Source organism: Homo sapiens, chromosome 1 (assembly GCF_000001405.40).
Source record: "Homo sapiens chromosome 1, GRCh38.p14 Primary Assembly".
In the NCBI taxonomy this organism is placed as follows: domain Eukaryota; kingdom Metazoa; phylum Chordata; class Mammalia; order Primates; family Hominidae; genus Homo; species Homo sapiens.
Genome location: NC_000001.11, coordinates 146,714,836 through 146,737,837, shown reverse-complemented (window position 1 = coordinate 146,737,837; position 23,002 = coordinate 146,714,836). Strand labels below are relative to the sequence as shown.

Here is a 23,002-nt window from a genome sequence, read left to right as displayed (position 1 = left end):
AGGGTAGGTAATCGGTGGAGAGATTCCCACCCGAATTTACCACTACGCCAGTGCCAATTCAAATCCTTTGAAAGGCAAAGGTAGGAAAGTCATTTAAAATGCCTACTATAGGCCAGGTGTGGTGGCTCACGCCTGTAATCCTAGCACTTTGGGAGGTTGAGGGCGGGCAGATTGCCTGAGCTTAGGAGTTCAAGACCAGCCTGGGCAACATGACAAAACCCCGTCTCTACAAAAAATTAGCTGGGCATGGTGGTGTGTGGCTGTAATCCCAGCTACTGGGGAGCCTGAGGCATGAGAATCGCTTGAGCCCTGGAGGTGGAGGTTGCAGTGAGCTGAGACCCCGTCACTGAACTCCAGCCTGGGTGACAGAGCAAGACTCTGTATCAAAAAAACAAACAAACAAACAAACAAAAAAGCCTATTATAAAACAATAGGAAATGCTGTGAGTGTAGTGAACTGGAGAACAGAAGACCCAACTAATGGTGTTCAAATTTAAATTATTTTAAAGCCCTTACTGGCCAAACCATGTCTACTGCCCTGATGAGGCCAGCTGGGTGCCCAGTTTCAACCGTATAGCAAAGGTTTTCCTTCCTGAAATTATATGTAGAGCTGGAGTAACCCTCATCTGGCTGGAACTCTAGATACGAGAGTGTAACATGGTCTTAGCATTAGTGACATTTATTGCCAGGCATTGTGGCTCAACACCTGTAATCTTAGTGCTTTGGCAGGCTGAGATGGGAGGATCACTTGAGACCAGGAATGCAAGACTAGCCTGGGTAACAAAGTAAGATCCTATCATAAAAAAAAAAAATTAAAAAATTAGCCAGGCATGGCAGTGCACATCTGTAGTCCCAGCTACTCAAGAAGCTGAAGCGGGAGGATCCCTTGAGCCTAAGAGTTAAGATTACAGTGAGCTCTGATTGCACCACTGTATTTCAGCCTGGGTAACAGAGCGAGACCTTTTTAAAAAAGAGACAGGGTCTTGCCTATATATATATATAAATATAAATATAAATATAAATATAAATTATATATATATATATGCAAGTTTTCAGGGAGCAGACAATTAGAATTCAGTGGATGATTATGAACAGGAGAGTTAGTAACTTCAGGGAATGGGGTAACAGGAGAGGCTGGGTGGGAGGACTTAGTCTGAAGCTTTTTAGGGAAAGTAGATTTCAAGGAGCTTGAATAGAGATTCATAAAGAGTGAGAGGTTTCCCTGATCCATCGTCCTGTACCTGACGTCAGGAAGAAAGAGCCAGAGACAGTCTATGGCTAAAAAGGGCTGCTCAGCTGAGGTTCGGAATCTGCCAAGACAGAAATATTCTGGTACAAAAGGATAGTCCTGGGGGCCAGATGTAACTGGGAAATGTAAGTGGGAAGACAATTATTCAAGTCTAATTTAGCCTTCACCCTGTGTAATGCCAAAATAAGGGCTCAGAATCTGTGTCCGCCTTTCTGTGCAGTTTATACTTTGAGAATTCTACTCCTGGAAGCTCATTGGCTCTTACCTTCCCAGTGGCATCTAGGAGAATGTCACAGGGAAAGGACAGCTCGGGGAAAGACTGGGGCCAGAAGGAAAGTGCATGGGGGAGGAAAAGCTTTTGGAGGTAAATTTCCTGATCCCTCTGTCAGTAATTCAATAATGGCCAAATTGGCCAGGGTTCTTCATTTGGGGCTGCCATAGACGATTTCTTGTCGCAGTAAACTCAGGTCACCAATTTGGTAATTGCAGAATAATGTGGAAGAGAACCACAGGGGATTTCCAAGCAAATAAAGTAAGTAGCCAGCAATCTTCCAATAAGCAAAGCTAAAATGCTTGTTTTGTCCCCAGTGGGGAACTACTCCAGTGTGAAGTAGTACCTGTGAGGTTCCTGGGGAGATCGAGGCAGATTTGGGGAAAGATTCCCTCTCCGCTCAGAGTGATATTTTCTGGGTCCAGGTGGGCGATCTGTATCTGGAAACTCCTTTTAAAGACCTCAGGTACTCCAGGTAGGTAGTAAACTTTTAATACCTGCTCTTGATGTGAACTGATAAAGCCCTACGCGGTAAAAAGACCAGAAAAGGGAAAACGAATGTGCTACAGTACAGGTTCAACTCATTAAATTACTTAAAACAACAACACCAATGACAAAGTAAACCTAAAAAAAGAAGGAAAGGAGTAAGAGATTTAATGAAATGAGTGCAAAGAAACAGAAGAGGTTCATAAATCCACAAACTGGTTCTTTGAAAAAAGACGAATAAAATACACAAAACTGGCAAGACTGATTAAGAAGATAAGGAGAAAAGTCACTAAAAATGTAAAAAGAAAAATGGTTCGGCCGGGCCTGGTGGCTCACGCCTGTAATCCCAGCACTTTGGGAGGCTGAGGTGGGTGGATCACGAGGTCAGGAGATCGAGACTATCCTGGCTAACATTGTAAAACCCCGTCTCTGCTAAAAATACAAAAAATTAGCCAGGCATGGTGGTGGGCACCTGTAGTCCCAGCTACTCGGGAGGCTGAGGCAGGAGAATGGCGTGAACCCGGGAGGCAGAGCTTGCAGTGAGCCGAGATCGCGCCACTGCACTCCAACCTGAGCGACAGAGCAAGACTCCGTCTCAAAAAAAAAAAAAGAGAAAAAAAAAAGAAAAATCGTTCATAAATATATAGTAAAATAGTACATAAATCATATACAATTATGAGAAAACTTTACGTCAATATATTAAAACATTTTTGTGAAATTAACAATTTCCTAGAAAAATATGAATAACAAAACTCAAAAACCTTAGAGTGATCTGTATCCTATACAGAAGCTGAAAAATGAAGACAATTACCCTGACAAAGGAATATATGGCATTGGAAGCAAGGTCTGCTATTCCTTCAAAAACAGATAATCACTTCAGTTTATGACCCATTCAGGAAATAGAAGAGAGAGAAATGCCCATTTATTTATTCTGATATCCAAACTGATCAAATGCAGCATGAAGAAGGAAATTTATGAACCAACGATCACTTAACAAAGGTGCAAAAATTGTAAGTAAAATGTTAGCTGAGTGAATCCAGCAATATATATATATATATAATATTTAAATGCAGATGGTAGCATACAGAGTGTTTTTCGTCTTCCTTTTCTTTTCATTTTACCTAACAATATATTTTACGATTAATTCAATATTAGTACTTCTAGAGCTGCTCCATCCTTTTTAGTTGCTACATATTATTCCATTACATAGTTTTAACATATTTTTAAAAACTAGTTTCCTACTGATAGACATTTAGTTTGTTTCTGGTCTTTTGCTATTGCCATTACAGATTATATAGGAAATAATCTTATAAACACATCATTTTGCAAATGTGGGAACGTGTATGTAGAATAAATTCTTAGAAATGAAATTTCTAGGTCAAAGTGTAATTTTGATAGATAAGGCCAAATTATTCTCTATAGAGTTGTTATCAATTTACAATAACTGCAGCAATGTAAATTCAAATGCTTAAAAATCTTTAGAAAAAGGGCAAGGAAAACATAGCAATTATGATAAAAAGATCGAATAGAAAGAAAACACTGAGTAAATTTAAAAAATAGACAAGATACGATGAAAGAAATAATAGCAAGCATTTCAGTTTTGCTAATCATAAGAATGTGTTAAATGTTCCTATTGAAACTTAAGGACTCTCAGAGAAGATTAAAAAATAAAATCCAAATAAGTATGTTTTATGAATGATAAGCCTAAAACAAAATGAAATAAGACTATGGGCAAATTATGTAAGGCAAAAAGAAAGCAGCAATCACAATATTAAGACCAAACAAAGGGGAATTCAAAGAAGAGCATTCAAAGGGAACAAGAAGGCAATTGAAGGTAGACAGAACACACAGTCCATGATGAACACTTAATAGTCATGAGATCTTCTGTGTCAACACAGAAACGAAAGGGTATAAACAAAAAGGTGTATGTATTTGTAGAAAACAATAGAGAAATGGACAAAAGTTTTATATACCACTCTTGAGTCTTAGAAAAATTAAACAGAAAAAGATATAGAAGATTTTAATGTTATAATTATTTGGGTTAATTTAGTAGAGAATCCAGATATGATAATCTGGATTCTATAGCCCAGGTAACATTATTTTCAAACATTTATTAGTATTAAAAATTACTTTAGGTCACTAAAATATATTAATAAATTCACTAAGTAGGAATTTAGAGGGCCATATTATCTGATCGTGATTCAAAAAAACCTCAATATTGGTAACAATATAAGTAACAAAAGCAAAAATCATAATCATTTGGAAATTAAAAAAAGAAAAATAAATTTTAAATTACATTTGTAAGTAAAACTATAATTTAAGACGACTTAGAAAATAATGAAAATCATAATAGTAAATATTAACATGTATAAAACACACAAAAATTGTCATCTACTTTTTTATCTGTAATTTTCTTAAAATATAAGGGGTAAGGCTAAAGGTGTCCTTAGGCAAATGAATAGTCTTACATTTTTTCATTATTAACTAAGAAAAACAATAAAAGCAGGCATTCAAGTCACAAAATTAGAGAAACAAAACACAAGAGTGAATTTGGGCTGGGCGAGATGGGGCTCACGCCTGTAATCCCAGCACTTTGGGATGCCAAGGCAGGCAGACACCTTGAGTTCAGGAGTTCAAGACCAGCCTGGGCAACATGGCAAGACCCTGTCTCTAAAAAACAAAAAATAAATAAATAAAATAAACAATAAATACAAAAATTAGCTGGGTGTGGTGGTGCATGCCTGTGGTCCCAGCTATGTGGGAGGCTAAGGTGGGAGGATTGCTTGAGCCCAGGAGGCAGCGGTTGCAGTGAGTCGAGGTCTGCACTCCAGTCTAGGTGACAGAGCCAGACCTGGTCTTAAAAAAAAAAAAAAAAAAAAAAGTGAATTCAAAAGATTAGCTAAGACAAATTGGGAAAAAAAACCAAAAGGGGAGTTGACCTAACAGATATTAAGATGTATTTCTAAAGCCATAGCAGCTAAAATAGTACAGTATTAATGTAGGGACAAACAGAGCAATGAAGAATAAAGAGACCAGCAGTAAACCCAAATATGTGAGATGACTTAGGGGAAGAACAGACTTTATCATTAAAGATGATGGTGCTCATTATCTTTGGATTTACAAGATTATGAATAATTACACTTTAAAAATATTTTCCTTTTTTTATAACAATTATGTGCTATTTTCATAATGAGAAAAATTCAACAAATGTTCCTTAAAACTGGTAGATCAACATAATATGAACAAGGAACCACTTTCTCTGTTTGCTTCTGAAACCAGTTTGGCTCAGCGCAGTCTGCTAGTGTTTTCACACCTGCTGAAGTCAGTGGAGAGGAAGCCCTCGGGAATTACAAGGGCAGCGTGAAGACATCGGTGGAAATAAATTAGTCTCATTATCATGGAAAAAAAAATCCATGGGTTGCATCTGTCTTGTTGATTGCTGTATCCCTGGTGCCTGGAAACTGGTTACTGTGGGACTAAATAAATATTTGTTTAATAAATGAGCGAAGTGGCTTGGATTTATTTTTTTTTTTCTGCTTCTGAGAGTTCTTTAGTTTTAACAAAAAGAAAAAATCACACTTGTAATCCTGGTCGTGAATACTCACCTGCTTCGGAGTGGGGCTCGTAGGTTTGAATTCAGGCCCCTCCCACCATTTACTTACAGACACAGGCAGGATTAGTGGCACTCCAGGGAGAAGGTTGTCTGGAGAAGACTGGTGGTCAGTCAGAACCTTGAACTCAAAGCCAACTTTCCCCATGTTCGTCAGCGTGATTTCCCTCTCTGTGACATGGTCAAACAGCTTGAGAAGAGAAGGAGAAGAGTGACTCCATCTTGGGATGCGGCTTTGATAGTGACAAAGGTGCAGAAACATGCCTCATGGATAAGGGTGTGACAGCTCCTGATGTAAATACTGGTCAATCTACATCTCAGCATCACAACAAATGCCTACTGGGGCACTAGACTCCGGAAACCTGGCTCTTAGTTCTTCTAAGAACCGATTTAGTTTAGGTATGGCTGTGGGGCTGAGCATTTCACCTTCCTGGGTCTCAGTTTTTTCACTACAGGAACTTGTAATAGAGAATCTTAAAGTAAGCTTTCTACATTAAAAAGATTTGCCTAGTATTCCATGGTGTATATGTGCCACATTTTCTTAATCCAGTCTATCATTGTTGGACATTTGGGTTGGTTCCAAGTCTTTGCTATTGTGAATAGTGAGAAAGTAAGCTCGTAAGGCCCCAGCGAGATGCAGCCATAAAAAATGATGAGTTCATGTCTTTGTAGGGACATGGATGAAGCTGGAAACCATCATTCTCAGCAAACTATCGCAAGGACAAAAAAACCAAACACCGCATGTTCTCACTCATAGGTGGGAATTGAACAATGAGAACACTTGGACACAGGAAGGGGAACATCACACACCAGGGCCTGTTGTGGGGTCGGGGGGAGGGGGGAGGGATAGCATTAGGCGATATACCTAATGTAAATGACAAGTTAATGGGTGCAGCACACCAACATGGCACATGTATACATATGCAACAAACCTGCACGTTGTGCACATATACCCTAGAACTTAAAGTATAATAAAAAGAATTAAAATAAATAAATTAAAAAAAAAAAGATTTGCCTTCTGGATTCTGTCCTGTAAGAAAAACAAAAGATTTGAGTTTAGAATGTTCTAGAATGAACTTTTCCATTCAAATGGAGAACCATGGGTGTAACAGGCCAGTCATGTTCTTTTTCCTGGAATTTTGCTAACATAATTCACCAGCTGGGTTAGCAGGCCCAATAACCACAAACAGGCCACTTTGGGGGTCCTTAGGAAAAGCTAGGGTGAGGTCTGACTGCTTCAAAGACTATACTATACTCAGAGATGAGCCGAAACCAAGTGCCCAAAGGACCCTGGAGACGACGAAGGAAAGAGAATTCTATTTGGTCAGCATCATGGAGATGGTCTCAGTAGGTGTTGGGTGAATCAGATTTTAGGCACAATCTTTGATCTATAAACACACATGCATGCATACAATTCAGTAATGATACATGCAGGAGCTATGTAATGGAGATTCAATCCTCATTGAAATTTGGTAGGAGATATGGTCTCCGAGTGCATAACACAAAATCTGATTGGGAAGAGAATGTGTACTGATGGAATTAATTGACAATTATTCCAAAACAAAAATGGGAAAGTATATTATATTATGGCAAAGACTATCATTAAGTGCCAAGGGAATGTAAAGTAAAAGATAACCCTAGAAGGAGCTGAGCTGGGTCTTATAGGATGTAAAGGTTTGGGTTTGGCAGAGTGGAGGATGAGAGGGATAAGGTAAGACAAAGTGTAGCTGCATGAAGCGCTGGGGTGCACTGGGGCCGGTGGGTAGACCAGCTTGGCCACAGTGAAATGTATGGACTACAAGAGGGAATTATGGGAAGTGAAACTTCCAGTGTAAAGATCACCAGTTAATAGAGAGGCTTAGGATAGCCTCACCCAGGTGAGGAATGGGCTCTGACCCAAAGGAACTCATGACAATTGACAGCCAACTCTGACCCAGCACAGCACTGACCAGATAGATGCTTTAAGCAATGACAACTCCTGGTGGGATGGGCTTGCTACTCCGTTCCCACCTTATAGATGAGGGACACTGAGGCTTGGAGAGGTGATGTGCCCAAGGTCATGCAGTCGGGAGGAAGTAAAACTGGAATAGGAAGAGGAAGTAAAACCGGAATACAAAGAGGAAGTAAAACCGGAATACAAAACCACGCTCTTTGGTCAATATCACATTGCTTTGCCAAATGCTGCTGGGATTAATTGGTCAGGGACTGACAGGATGACAACACCATTTTGGAAAATGTCGCTGGACTTACTGAATCAGAATCTGCACTTGAACAAAACTCCCAGGTGATTCATAGGCACATTACAGTGTGGGAGGAACTGCTGTAATAATTTAGGCATGGCTCGATGAGACCCTGTAATGTGATATCAGTGGCAATGGGAAGAGAAAACTGACTCAGAGAGGGACGCTGGTGATGAGTCAGCAAACCCTGGAGGCTTAGAAGGATGTGGAGAGGTGAAGGAGAGAGTGCAGCGGAAAAGCCTTGGAGATTGTGAACCCAAGGGTGGAGAAAATGGTAATGCTATTGAAAGAAATGCAGAAGTTGGAACAGGCTCCTGGATTGAAAGGGAAGAAGTGACCTTGAGCATCTAACATGCTGAGTTTCAGGAGACGATAAGAAAAGCAAGTGTAAGTATCTGGCAAACAGTTGGCAGCAGGAGGATGGTCAGGGTTAGGGAGGCTGATGGGAGATCAAGGACGGGGTGATGGCGAGACTATGATGATTGGGGTTCAGGAGAGATTTGTTTAAGATGCTTAAGACAAAACCAGAAAATCTCTACCCGATGGTTTGTGATACCTGTAATCCGTAGTGAATATCCTTGGTGTCAAAGGAATAGTTGACCAGGGACGCCTCTCCCTTCAGTGTTATTTCGTAGGTGGGTCCTTCTTCCACTTCACACAGAGCTTTAGCTTGTGCAATGATGTTAGCGTGTCCATAGAAGGTGAACGATATTTGGTGGCTACTGTGTGGCTGCAACACTCCAAACAGGGGCAAAATATCAAACACCTGCAGAGAAAGTCATTCTGTAAGAGAGCAGCTGTTGGGATGAATGCCTGCCAAGGATAAGTGAAAGTTATGTCAATTTACACATTAATTCCAGTCTTTAACTCATTTGATAGAAGGTAGCCCAGCACCCTGAAAACACATAATGGTAATGATGGTAACAGTGCTCTGGTGAGATTTAAGTTTCTAATGTGGGGCAGCTGCTCAGTTAGAAAGTAAAGTTAGTGTCTGATAAGGTCAGGAATCACACGGTGTCACTTACTTCTTCTATCCCAATGGAAAGCATCTCATTCTGTTCACAGGTCTGTAGGGATTCCTGATCCTCCACCTGGCTCTGGCTTGAGTATATTCTTTCTATTTCAGTAGAGCTAATTTTTATTTCCTAGAAATTAAAGATGTGAGGAAAAGCTGGCAAGCATTCAAAATGGATCATCAATTGACAGAAAAATAAAGTATGTTGTATATGATTATAAAAATAGTACATTTTTTCCCAGGGAGATAATTGAGCAAGTGACTATAATGTACATACGAGGATGTTTACTGCAGCATTATTTATAACAGCAAAACTTTGGAAGCCAACTCAGTGCCCATCAATAGGGGGTCACTTTAAATGAAGTGTGTGTGGTACACCTATCCATGAAGGATAATGCATGTATATTTATGGATAGGGATGATGTGCACAACATATTATTGAGTGAAAAGCAGTTCTATTCATGTAAAATTACATATGCCTCATGTGTCTGAAGGTGTGTGTGTGTAAATTCCTTCAGAGATTTGCATTGGCAAATAGAAATATCTGGGAGGTTGTTTGCTAAGGATTTCGTAGCATTTTTCTCAGTGGGGTAGAAAGAAGATGGGAATTTTGAGGATGTTTGCTTTAATTTTTCTGTATTCTTGAGTTTATATGTACACATATGTACATATATATGTACATATATATTTTATTTTTGAGACAAGATGTCTGTCTCTGTCACCCAGGCTGGAATGCAGTGGCATGATCAGAGCTCACCGCAGCCTTGAATGCCTGGGCTCGAGTGACCTTCCCACCTCAGCCTCCCTAAAGTAGCCAGGACTGCAGGCGTGCACCACCACACACCCTGGAGTCTCGTTATGTTGCCCAGGCTGGTCTTGAACTCGTGGCCTCAAGCCATCCTCCTGCCTTGGCTCCCAAAGTACTGGGGTTACAGGCGTGAACCACTGTTTCTGGCCTATTCTTGAGTTTTCTATGACACGCATCTTTGAAAATAGAAAAAGAAGAATTAATATTTAAAAGACAAATATTTTATATACTCACAAATACTCATTCTAAAAAATTTTTAAAATATAGAAAGCTCCAAGGAAAGAAATAAAAGTCCATCTCAGGTTATACTGTAGATAAATATTATTATATATATGTGTGTATATATAGTGTATTATGTGTGCATATATATTTGTATTCTGATTTTTCAGTTGACCTAATATGAGTGCCATCTTCCCATATGACTGAATATTCTTCACAAACATCACTTAAAGTATTTTAGAAAGTTGATTGTACACGATACAAATTTAAAATATTCAAAAGGATATATGGTAAAAAGATAAAAAAAGACTTCTATCCCTACAGTTCTCTGGTTCTCCCCTCCTGAGGTACCCACTGTCCAGTTTCCTATATGTTGAATTTAGTTATTCCTCTTCATTCAGCTGATATTTACTGGGGACTTACTAAGAACCAGTTCTATATCCTGAGGATATGACGATGAACAAAACAGAAAAAAAATTCCTGCCCTCATGAAGATTAAATTCCAGAGATATTCCATGCACAAGCAAAGATATCTATGTAACTGTTTGAGAGGTAACACAGTAGCTAAGAGCAAGCAAGATGGTCGAGTCTTCCAGCTCCACTGCTTGATGGACGTGTCCCTGCATTGGTAAAATGGGGAAAGATAGTGGTATCCACCTCACAGGGGTGTTGGGAAAAGTAAAAGAGTTAATGTAAAAAATTGCTTAGCTGGGGGCGATGGCTCATGGCTGTAATCCCAGGACTTTGGGAGGCTGAGGCAGGTGGATTGCCTGAGCTCAGATGTTCAAGACCACCCCGGGCAACATGGTGAAACCCTGTCTCTACTGAAATACAAAAATTAGCCGGGCATGATGGCAAGTGCCTGTAATCCCAGCTATTTGGGAGGCTGAAGCACGAGAATTGCTTGAACCCAGGAGGTGGAGGTTGCAGTGGGTCAAGATGGTACCACTTCACTCTGGCCTGGGCAACAGAGTGAGACTCTGCCTCAAAAAAAAAAAAAAAAAAAAAAAAAAAAAAAAAAAAAAAAAGCTTAGGTCAGTGCTCAGTTAAGTGTTGGTTGCTTTCATAGACTTTTTTTCTTTATACAAATGGTAGCACACAGTGTACTTTGTTTTGCACTGGGTATTTTTTCTTAATATATCAAAGATTGTGCCAAATTAGTATGTAGAGAACTTTCTCATTTTTAAAAAAGAATTTCATAGTATTGCCTTGTGCAGATGTAATTTAGTTTATTCAGACGGTCTCCTATTGGTGGGATTAAGTTGTTTCCAATATTTCTTGCTTTTACAAACAAAGCTGCAGTGTACAAGGATGGTTACATGCTTTATGCAAGTGCAGAGGTGTATCTGGAGGATAATTTCTAGAAGGGGGGACAATGCATTTTAAATTTTGATCTACTTGCAAAGTTGTATGTTATAGAGGTTATGCCAATTCATACTCCTACCCACACCATAGGAAAATCCCACTCAACACTATTTTAAAAGATTGCATCACATCATGGACATACAGCAATTTATCTTCCATTTTTTTTTTTCATTTTTTGCTGTTTCTAAAATGTTGTAACAAGCATCTTTGTATGCACATCTTTGTATCTCCAATAGTTTACTTAGGCCATCATTCTAGAAGGAGAATTTAAAGGTATTAATTTTTAAGCCCCCTCTGCTTTTGCTACAGAATTATTAAGAAAATATTTTTCCTTTAGTATCCTCTATCTATGGTGTAGGAACATCACAAGTGTAGGCTCTCACTGAGTGTTGGCTCTGGGGTGTTTGGCTGGGAAGAAATGTGGGTAAAGCTGTACGGCTTTGTCCCAATTAAACCCAAGCATTGTACTGGCCACTCTGCTCCTGATTCTGCCTTTGTTTTATGGGAAGGACCCTTGACCTGCCTACCCTCCCCATGGAAAGGACACCGTACATCTGAGATCACACTGGAAGCTTTTGTTTTTCTTAGTTCTTTTTCTTCAGGCCTGGCATCTTCATCCACAAGGACAGTCCTAGGAAGTTTAATGAAATGCAGAGATTCACTCATTGGGCTGTCATCGCCACACAGTCTCAGGTGCATAACAGCCCTGTCTTCCTCTTCTCCCTTTACCACACCCCCAAACGTAAGGGGGATTCTCAATCAAGGGACACCTTTCTCAAGAGGTCAGCTGGTCAGGGCCCTGTTGCCCTATGCCCCCAAACATGTGGTCTAGGCCACTGAACTGGTCAATTTTTCACGGGGCTCAACCCTTTTTTACTGGCCCACCAAGCCCATGTTCAACTTACAAAAAGTCCTAGGAAGCTCCAGCAATTCTTCAGACAATGTGGGTGTTCTATGTGCTCAATGTTGTTTCCCTATTTATTGGAGCATTTTATTGTGAGGACATAATGTTTGGTGAATTGATATATCCTTTCCTGCTTGCTACCCTGGACCCAATCCTGACTGTAGACCTTGGACATACAGAGAGGACAATATGATAGGAAGGGCCCAGTCCCCCAGGACTCATGATGGTACCCTCTCCCTATCCCAGATGTCTAGTCTGGGGCCTACACATAGAAGACATTTATTAAACTGTTGACTGGGGACTGGATGAATGAACCAATGAGGGATGAGTATTGAGAATGTAAGTCCGTGTAAAGAAAAGAAAAGCTACTACAAAAAATCTATGTTGGCTTTGCACTTACTTAACAAAATCATTTAAATCCATCTCGGGGGACTCTACTGTAACTAGGATTGCTGGTGGGCTGGCAGCCTCTGAGGTTGCTGGGATGGACTCCATCTGGGACAGTGGGGCACTGTAGGGCTTCTTTGGCAATGTCACAAACCTACCAAAGCATGGGACAGGGAATAGGGGGAGACAGGAGACATCAGTTTTTGCAAATCAGTGTTCAGTGGGCTCTCAGTTTCTAAGGCCAAACTCCAAATCCTAGACCAGGCAGATCTAGTAGGGACCACCCTACACCCTCCCTTGAACTTGCCTTCTTCAAATCTCAGCTAAAGTTTCACTTGCTCTTAAAAAGTTTTCTGACTACCAGTCTAGGCCCAACTTCTTTCCTCTGAGTGTCCATAGCCCCCTGGGCTTCCCCTTTCACACTTATTTTTACCATCCCTGTTAGATGTGGACTCGCTGAGGACTGGTATCCAATATGGTGTCTAATCCAGTGCCTGGCCTGGAATAAGTAGTCGGCATGGTCATGAAGGAATGAGCCACTGGGGATCCTGCTCCCAGCTCACCAGAAAGCAGGGCTAAGACTCAGCTGAGGCCTGGGAAGCACTCTCTGTTAGGGGCCTGGAAGTGCAGGCTCGGGTTTCTTACATGACCTTGCCTCCTACAATGTGACCTCAGTGCCTTGCTCGCCACACCCTAGTCCTGGTCCCACCAATGAGCTGTGCTGCCACTCAAGTTCTCTGAGCAGAGGAACCCAGGGGAAAAGCAACTGTACCAGCTGGTGCTGAAGCCCATATGTCCAGGTTCCACTGATTAAAAAGGCCTTTGGATGTCACAAAGGCAAAGGTTGTGGGGTCACCCCCATTCTTCCTGTTTCCCCTTGGTGCATGGCTTTTTCTGGACCCCTCTCTGACCCTCCCCAACCTATCTCAAGCCCTTGATGTTAATTTCAATCTATTTCACTTATATACTCATTCTGGCCCCATCTGTACTCAGAGGCTCAGCACAAATGTCATCTATTATGTGAAGCTCCCACCACTGGCCTATCTTCCCACCGGAAGAAATTCTCCCTCCCTTGGAAGCTTCAGAGCACTTCATCTGCACTTCTTTTAGGACACTGTCCACTCTAACCATGTCCTAGAGTATCATTTCCTAAATTTCAGGGATCCTAGAGTATCATTTCCTAAATTTCAGGGATCCCACTACCATCTTCGTGATTTGTAAGCGCACAGTTTGATGAGTTGTATACACATCTGTGGAACTATCACCACATTAATAAACAGAATGTTTCCATCATCCTAAAAAGTTGCTTTGTGCAAACACTCATCTGCTTAATATCACTAGAGATTAATTTGCCCACACTTTCATAGAAATGAAATTGGAAACATGTACAAATTTGTGTCTGACTTCCTCTGTTTGGCATGATGTTTTTGAGATTTGTCCATGTTATTGCATGGAGCAATGATTCTGTTCTTTCTTTGGAGCAGTATTCCATAGTGTGGATGTTTTCCCATCTTTTTGTTGATGGACACCTTTACTATTTCTAGCTTTTAGATACTATGAATCAAGTTGCTATGAACATCTGTGTACAAGTCTTTTTGTAGACATATGTTTTCATTCTTCTTGGGTAAATTCCTTGGAAGCGAATTGCTGGGTTGTATGGTATATGTATATTTAACATTACAAGAAACTGCCAACCAGTTTTCCAAAATTGTTGTACCACTTTACACTACCACCTGCATTGTATGAGAGTTCTCGTTGGTCTGCATTCTCATCCACACTTGGTATTTAGTCTTTTACATTTTAGCCATTCAAATGAGCATACGGTGATATCACATTGTGGTATTCATTAATAGGCGTAGTTTAAAGGAAAATTCTATGTCATTTACTATATAATATAGTAAATGATATAGTCTATGTCTATTTCATTTACTATAAATGAAAACACAGGATTATCTAGCATATTTAGAAAAATCAACACAATGGAAAAAAATCAATGTAATTATTTTCTTGCCTGGTGAAGGCTCTGAGATGAGCTCTGGTTGCTCTTTTAAGAAGGGAAAACACGGGAGGGAGGAGCCAAGATGGCCGAATAGGAACAGCTCCGGTCTACAGCTCCCAGCGTGAGCGACGCAGAAGACGGGTGATTTCTGCATTTCCATCTGAGGTACCGGGTTCATCTCACTAGGGAGTGCCAGACAGTGGGCGCAGGCCAGTGTGTGCGCGCACCGTGCGCGAGCCGAAGCAGGGCGAGGCATTGCCTCACCTGGGAAGCGCAAGGGGTCAGGGAGTTCCCTTTCCGAGTCAAAGAAAGGGGTGACGGACGCACCTGGAAAATCGGGTCACTCCCACCCGAATATTGCGCTTTTCAGACCGGCTTAAGAAACGGCGCACCACGAGACGATATCCCACACCTGGCTCGGAGGGTCCTACGCCCACGGAATCTCGCTGATTGCTAGCACAGCAGTCTGAGATCAAACTGCAAGGCGGCAACGAGGCTGGGGGAGGGGCGCCCGCCATTGCCCAGGCTTGCTTAGGTAAACAAAGCAGCCAGGAAGCTCGAACTGGGTGGAGCCCACCACAGCTCAAGGAGGCCTGCCTGCCTCTGTAGGCTCCACCTCTGGGGGCAGGGCACAGACAAACAAAAAGACAGCAGTAACCTCTGCAGACTTAAGTGTCCCTGTCTGACAGCTTTGAAGAGAGCAGTGGTTCTCCCAGCACGCAGCTGGAGATCTGAGAACGGGCAGACTGCCTCCTCAAGTGGGTCCCTGACCCCTGACCCCCGAGCAGCCTAACTGGGAGGCACCCCCCAGCAGGGGCACACTGACACCTCACACGGCAGGGTATTCCAACAGACCTGCAGCTGAGGGTCCTGTCTGTTAGAAGGAAAACTAACAACCAGAAAGGACATCTACACCGAAAACCCATCTGTACATCACCATCATCAAAGACCAAAAGTAGATAAAACCGCAAAGATGGGGAAAAAACAGAACAGAAAAACTGGAAACTCTAAAACGCAGAGCGCCTCTCCTCCTCCAAAGGAACGCAGTTCCTCACCAGCAACAGAACAAAGCTGGATGGAGAATGATTTTGACGAGCTGAGAGAAGAAGGCTTCAGACGATCAAATTACTCTGAGCTACGGGAGGACATTCAAACCAAAGGCAAAGAAGTTGAAAACTTTGAAAAAAATTTAGAAGAATGTATAACTAGAATAACCAATACAGAGAAGTGCTTAAAGGAGCTGATGGAGCTGAAAACCAAGGCTCGAGAACTACGTGAAGAATGCAGAAGCCTCAGGAGCCGATGCGATCAACTGGAAGAAAGGGTATCAGCAATGGAAGATGAAATGAATGAAATGAAGCGAGAAGGGAAGTTTAGAGAAAAAAGAATAAAAAGAAATGAGCAAAGCCTCCAAGAAATATGGGACTATGTGAAAAGACCAAATCTACGTCTGATTGGTGTACCTGAAAGTGATGTGGAGAATGGAACCAAGTTGGAAAACACTCTGCAGGATATTATCCAGGAGAACTTCCCCAATCTAGCAAGGCAGGGCAACATTCAGATTCAGGAAATACAGAGAACGCCACAAAGATACTCCTAGAGAAGAGCAACTCCAAGACACATAATTGTCAGATTCACCAAAGTTGAAATGAAGGAAAAAATGTTAAGGGCAGCCAGAGAGAAAGGTCGGATTACCCTCAAAGGAAAGCCCATCAGACTAACAGCGGATCTCTCGGCAGAAACCCTACAAGCCAGAAGAGAGTGGGGGCCAATATTCAACATTCTTAAAGAAAAGAATTTTCAACCCAGAATTTCATATCCAGCCAAACTAAGCTTCATAAGTGAAGGAGAAATAAAATACTTTATAGACAAGCAAATGCTGAGAGATTCTGTCACCACCAGGCCGGCCCTAAAAGAGCTCCTGAAGGAAGCGCTAAACATGGAAAGGAACAACCGGTACCAGCCGCTGCAAAATCATGCCAAAATGTAAAGACCATCGAGACTAGGAAGAAACTGCATCAACTAATGAGCAAAATCACCAGCTAACATCATAATGACAGGATCAAATTCACACATAACAATATTAACTTTAAATATAAATGGACTAAATTCTGCAATTAAAAGACACAGACTGGCAAGTTGGATAAAGAGTCAAGACCCATCAGTGTGCTGTATTCAGGAAACCCATCTCACGTGCAGAGACACACATAGGCTCAAAATAAAAGGATGGAGGAAGATCTACCAAGCAAATGGAAAACAAAAAAAGGCAGGGGTTGCAATCCTAGTCTCTGATAAAACAGACTTTAAACCAACAAAGATCAAAAGAGACAAAGAAGGCCATTACATAATGGTAAAGGGATCAATTCAACAAGAGGAGCTAACTATCCTAAATATTTATGCACCCAATACAGGAGCACCCAGATTCATAAAGCAAGTCCTGAGTGACCTACAAAGAGACTTAGACTCCCACACATTAATAATGGGAGACTTTAACACCCCACTGTCAACATTAGACAGATCAACGAGACAGAAAGTCAACAAGGATACCCAGGAATTGAACTCAGCTCTGCACCAAGCAGACCTAATAGACATCTACAGAACTCTCCACCCCAAATCAACAGAATATACATTTTTTTCAGCACCACACCACACCTATTCCAAAATTGACCACATAGTTGGAAGTAAAGCTCTCCTCAGCAAATGTAAAAGAACAGAAATTATAACAAACTATCTCTCAGACCACAGTGCAATCAAACTAGAACTCAGGATTAAGAATCTCACTCAAAGCCGCTCAACTACATGGAAACTGAACAACCTGCTCCTGAATGACTACTGGGTACATAACGAAATGAAGGCAGAAATAAAGATGTTCTTTGAAACCAACGAGAACAAAGACACCACATACCAGAATCTCTGGGACGCATTCAAAGCAGTGTGTAGAGGGAAATTTATAGCACTAAATGCCTACAAGAGAAAGCAGGAAAGATCCAAAATTGACACCCTAACATCACAATTAAAAGAACTAGAAAAGCAAGAGCAAACACATTCAAAAGCTAGCAGAAGGCAAGAAATAACTAAAATCAGAGCAGAACTGAAGGAAATAGAGACATAAAAAACCCTTCAAAAAATCAATGAATCCAGGAGCTGGTTTTTTGAAAGGATCAACAAAATTGATAGACCGCTAGCAAGACTAATAAAGAAAAAAAGAGAGAAGAATCAAATAGACACAATAAAAAATGATAAAGGGGATATCACCACCGATCCCACAGAAATACAAACTACCATCAGAGAATACTACAAACACCTCTACGCAAATAAACTAGAAAATCTAGAAGAAATGGATACATTCCTCGACACATACACTCTCCCAAGACTAAACCAGGAAGAAGTTGAATCTCTGAATAGACCAATAACAGGCTCTGAAATTGTGGCAATAATCAATAGTTTACCAACCAAAAAGAGTCCAGGACCAGATGGATTCACAGCCGAATTCTACCAGAGGTACAAGGAGGAACTGGTACCATTCCTTCTGAAACTATTCCAATCAATAGAAAAAGAGGGAATCCTCCCTAACTCATTTTATGAGGCCAGCATCATGCTGATACCAAAGCCGGGCAGAGACACAACCAAAAAAGAGAATTTTAGACCAATATCCTTGATGAACATTGATGCAAAAATCCTCAATAAAATACTGGCAAATCGAATCCAGCAGCACATCAAAAAGCTTATCCACCATGATCAAGTGGGCTTCATCCCTGGGATGCAAGGCTGGTTCAATATATGCAAATCAATAAATGTAATCCAGCATATAAACAGAGCCAAAGACAAAAACCACATGATTATCTCAATAGATGCAGAAAAAGCCTTTGACAAAATTCAACAACCCTTCATGCTAAAAACTCTCAATAAATTAGGTATTGATGGGACGTATTTCAAAATAATAAGAGCTATCTATGACAAACCCACAGCCAATATCATACTGAATGGGCAAAAACTGGAAGCATTCCCTTTGAAAACTGGCACAAGACAGGGATGCCCTCTCTCACCGCTCCTATTCAACATAGTGTTGGAAGTTCTGGCCAGGGCAATCAGGCAGGAGAAGGAAATAAAGGGTATTCAATTAGGAAAAGAGGAAGTCAAATTGTCCCTGTTTGCAGACGACATGATTGTTTATCTAGAAAACCCCATCGTCTCAGCCCAAAATCTCCTTAAGCTGATCAGCAACTTCAGCAAAGTCTCAGGATACAAAATCAATGTACAAAAATCACAAGCATTCTTATACACCAACAACAGACAAACAGAGAGCCAAATCATGAGTGAACTCCCATTCACAATTGCTTCAAAGAGAATAAAATACCTAGGAATCCAACTTACAAGGGATGTGAAGGACCTCTTCAAGGAGAACTACAAACCACTGCTCAAGGAAATAAAAGAGGACACAAACAAATGGAAGAACATTCCATGCTCATGGGTAGGAGGAATCAATATCGTGAAAATGGCCATACTGCCCAAGGTAATTTACAGATTCAATGCCATCCCCATCAAGCTACCAATGACTTTCTTCACAGAATTGGAAAAAACTACTTTAAAGTTCATATGGAACCAAAAAAGAGCCCACATCGCCAAGTCAATCCTAAGCCAAAAGAACAAAGCTGGAGGCATCACACTACCTGACTTCAAACTATACTACAAGGCTACAGTAACCAAAACAGCATGGTACTGGTACCAAAACAGAGATATAGATCAATGGAACAGAACAGAGCCCCCAGAAATAATGCCGCATATCTACAACTATCTGATCTTTGACAAACCTGAGAAAAACAAGCAATGGGGAAAGGATTCCCTATTTAACAAATGGTGCTGGGAAAACTGGCTAGCCATATGTAGAAAGCTGAAACTGGATCCCTTCCTTACACCTTATACAAAAATCAATTCAAGATGGATTAAAGATTTAAACGTTAGACCTAAAACCATAAAAACCCTAGAAGAAAACCTAGGCATTACCATTCAGGACACAGGCGTGGGCAAGGACTTCATGTCCAAAACACCAAAAGCAATGGCAACAAAAGCCAAAATTGACAAATGGGATCTAATTAAACTAAAGAGCTTCTGCACAGCAAAAGAAACTACCATCAGAGTGAACAGGCAACCTACAACATGGGAGAAAATTTTCGCAACCTACTCATCTGACAAAGGGCTAATATCCAGAATCTACAATGAACTCAAACAAATTTACAAGAAAAAAACAACCCCATCAAAAAGTGGGTGAAGGACATGAACAGACACTTCTCAAAAGAAGACATTTATGCAGCCAAAAAACACATGAAGAAATGCTCATCATCACTGGCCATCAGAGAAATGCAAATCAAAACCACTATGAGATATCATCTCACACCAGTTAGAATGGCAATCATTAAAAAGTCAGGAAACAACAGGTGCTGGAGAGGATGTGGAGAAATAGGAACACTTTTACACTGTTGGTGGGACTGTAAACTAGTTCAACCATTGTGGAAGTCAGTGTGGCGATTCCTCAGGGATCTAGAACTAGAAATACCATTTGACCCAGCCATCCCATTACTGGGTATATACCCAAAGGACTATAAATCATGCTGCTATAAAGACACATGCACACGTATGTTTATTGCGGCACTATTCACAATAGCAAAGACTTGGAACCAACCCAAATGTCCAACAATGATAGACTGGATTAAGAAAATGTGGCACATATACACCATGGAATACTATGCAGCCATAAAAAATGATGAGTTCATGTCCTTTGTAGGGACATGGATGAAATTGGAAACCATCATTCTCAGTAAACTATCGCAAGAACAAAAAACCAAACACCGCATATTCTCACTCATAGGTGGGAATTGAACAATGAGATCACATGGACACAGGAAGGGGAATATCACACTCTGGGGACTGTGGTGGGGTCGGGGGAGGGGGGAGGGATAGCATTGGGAGATATACCTAATGCTAGATGACGAGTTAGTGGGTGCAGCGCACCAGCATGGCACATGTATACATATGTAACTAACCTGCACAATGTGCACATGTACCCTAAAACTTAGAGTATAATAAAAAAAAAAACATTAAAAAAAAAAAACATTTCACACAGACAGAAACATAAAAAAAAAAAAAAAAAAAAAAAAAGAAGGGAAAACACTGGGCTGGCATGATCTTGGCTGGGCTTATTACTGTATGGAAGGAGGATCCACGGTGTCCCCTCTTTACATACCCTATTGCACAGGGTCTTATACATGCAGCCCAAGCTCAACAGATGTTTGGTTGATTGAATGAATGGATGGATGCATGGATGGATGCATGGATGGATGGATGGATGGATGGATGGATGGGTGTGTGGAATGTTGAATGAGAACAGTTGAATAGCATAGAGGGTAATCTGACTATTCTGCACCTTGTCTGTCAACCTGGGATAAAGAGTGGCGATGGGAAAGCATGGAGAATTCACAGAGTATGGAAAAGCTCTTTTCATTTTTGGCTTGAGCTTCCATTTGACTTGTTCCAGACCAGATGTCTCTAGCTGACTTTACCTCTGGCTGAAACCACTCCATTAGGGGCAGAGAACGCATGTTGGGCTGGGTGCTAACAAATCTCCCGGGAAGCTCCTTAAAATAAAGATTCCTGAACCTTGTCCTCTGACAGATTACAATTCAGCAGGTCTCAGGAGTTAGATTTTTAACAGCCTTCCCAGGCAATTCTAATGGGCAGCCAGATTTAGGAGCTGCCGTGGGTAGGAATGGCAGCATGACAGCTGAGGATGGAGCTGATAATTAATATGGGGCTATCACTGCAGCCTTAACAGCTAGGGACAGTGAAAATCAGCCGAGGACAATTCTGAACACTTATGAAATCACTCCAGGTCAGCAGAGACGCCTGGCGAGGCTTTGCCGGCTCGCTGCCCCACATAATAGCACTCACCCATCCAGCCTTTGCACCCCTGTGGGATGTGCTGCATAAAGAGAAAACAAATGGGAATTTCTGTAATGGAAAAATACAAAGCTGTAGAGGGTCTTCATACCTGAGGAAAAACAACACCTCAGTTGACAATGCTACCTGGACAATTGGGAAGTAAGAGGTCTTTCTGGAAATCAATAGAGGAAGGCAGAGCCGCCCTCCGTGCTTGCCCCTTGAGCCACAGGAGACAGTGAAACATTTACTGTAATGAGGACTTTACGTTATTAAAACCAGAAAACCTGCTCCAAAATATGGAAATAGAACGCTGGTAGAGTTTTTTTGGATCAGATTTCCTTTTACCCTCAGGAACAGGTGATTACTTTCCTGGTATGCTGACCCAAACAGGAGTAGATTCAGTTATTTTGAAAAGGGAGTGCATAGCAAACAAGAACAATCGATACTGTTCCAATCCCAGAGCTCCCCGTATCAGAATCATGGGAGAAGCCAGGAAAGAAATGTTCCCTGTAGCTGCCAGAGAATCACATGCATGTCAGACACCTGCTCATCAGCAGCACTGGCTTTGGGGGCAGTGGTTTCCCTCCTCATGTTTTATTTTCAACTCTTGGGGAAGGATCGCCACAATCTTTTGTGCTACAAAGTTAAAAAAACAATCCACCATACTTCTTTCCTGTCCTTTCTTCACTGGAAGCAGTGTGGCGCTAAAATAAAACCCTGATGAACAAGCTTGTATTTCAGTTAATGTTCTGTGTTGCAGCTTCCATGATCTTTGCAGATGGGATGGTGGATGCTGGACACCCATTGAAGTCTGCGCAGTGTAGTCTTGTGGGAAAAGGTGGCAGGGGTGGGCAGCCCTGCAGGAGACACATTGATTTCTAATTCATTGATTCATTAGACTTGGCTTCTGGGAGTGTCCACTACAGAGGATGAAATCAGCTGGACAAGAAGGGCCTGCATATGCTGTTTAATATTTTTTTAAAACTGATGACTGCAGCAGATGCTGCCAGTGCACTTCATTAGGGTGATGCCCCCAGGTGCTGTGGGTGTGGCTGTACCTTCCTCTGGAGCATTGCCCTGGCCTGATGGGAGATGTCTCACTCACCCTGAGCTGCCTTCCCTCTCATTAGGGTATGACTTATAGGAAGGAGTGACTGATAGGGGTGGCAGCTATGAGAGCCCAGCCTCCTTGTCTCTGAGTGGGACAAACTGTGATGTAATTTACACTCCAAAGCTCCCCACGGGATCAGGCAGAGGTGAGACTTCTGAAATCACATCTTCCCCTAGTTTTCTTCTGGCCCTATCTTGCTTCCCTTAGTTTCTTATAGTTCTCCTGAGAGCCCTCCCTCAATAAATCACCTCAAGAACCACACTCTCCGGCTCTCCTAGGGAATCCACTACAGTGTTGTAGGATTCTAAAGATGAGAAACCCAACCCTTGCTTCAAGGAGCTAAGAGGCCAGTGGATCAGAGTCAGAGCCACAGGAGTGGCTGTGCTTTAGGGTAGAAGTGTTC

The 23,002-nt window shown here is 41.5% G+C and overlaps 1 pseudogene across 1 annotated transcript in view; it reads right to left on the bottom strand.

Annotated features, from left to right (window-relative positions):
* Window positions 1–23,002, bottom strand: part of HYDIN2 (HYDIN axonemal central pair apparatus protein 2 (pseudogene)) — a 335,703-nt pseudogene that overhangs the window by 84,197 nt on the left and 228,504 nt on the right. The window contains exons 28-32 of the transcript NR_103556.2: window positions 12,567–12,707; window positions 8,881–9,000; window positions 8,412–8,621; window positions 5,668–5,805; window positions 1,866–2,043 (exon numbers count right to left, since the gene is read on the bottom strand). The product of NR_103556.2 is annotated as an HYDIN axonemal central pair apparatus protein 2 (pseudogene) (transcript). The remainder of the gene's footprint in view (window positions 1–1,865; window positions 2,044–5,667; window positions 5,806–8,411; window positions 8,622–8,880; window positions 9,001–12,566; window positions 12,708–23,002) is intronic.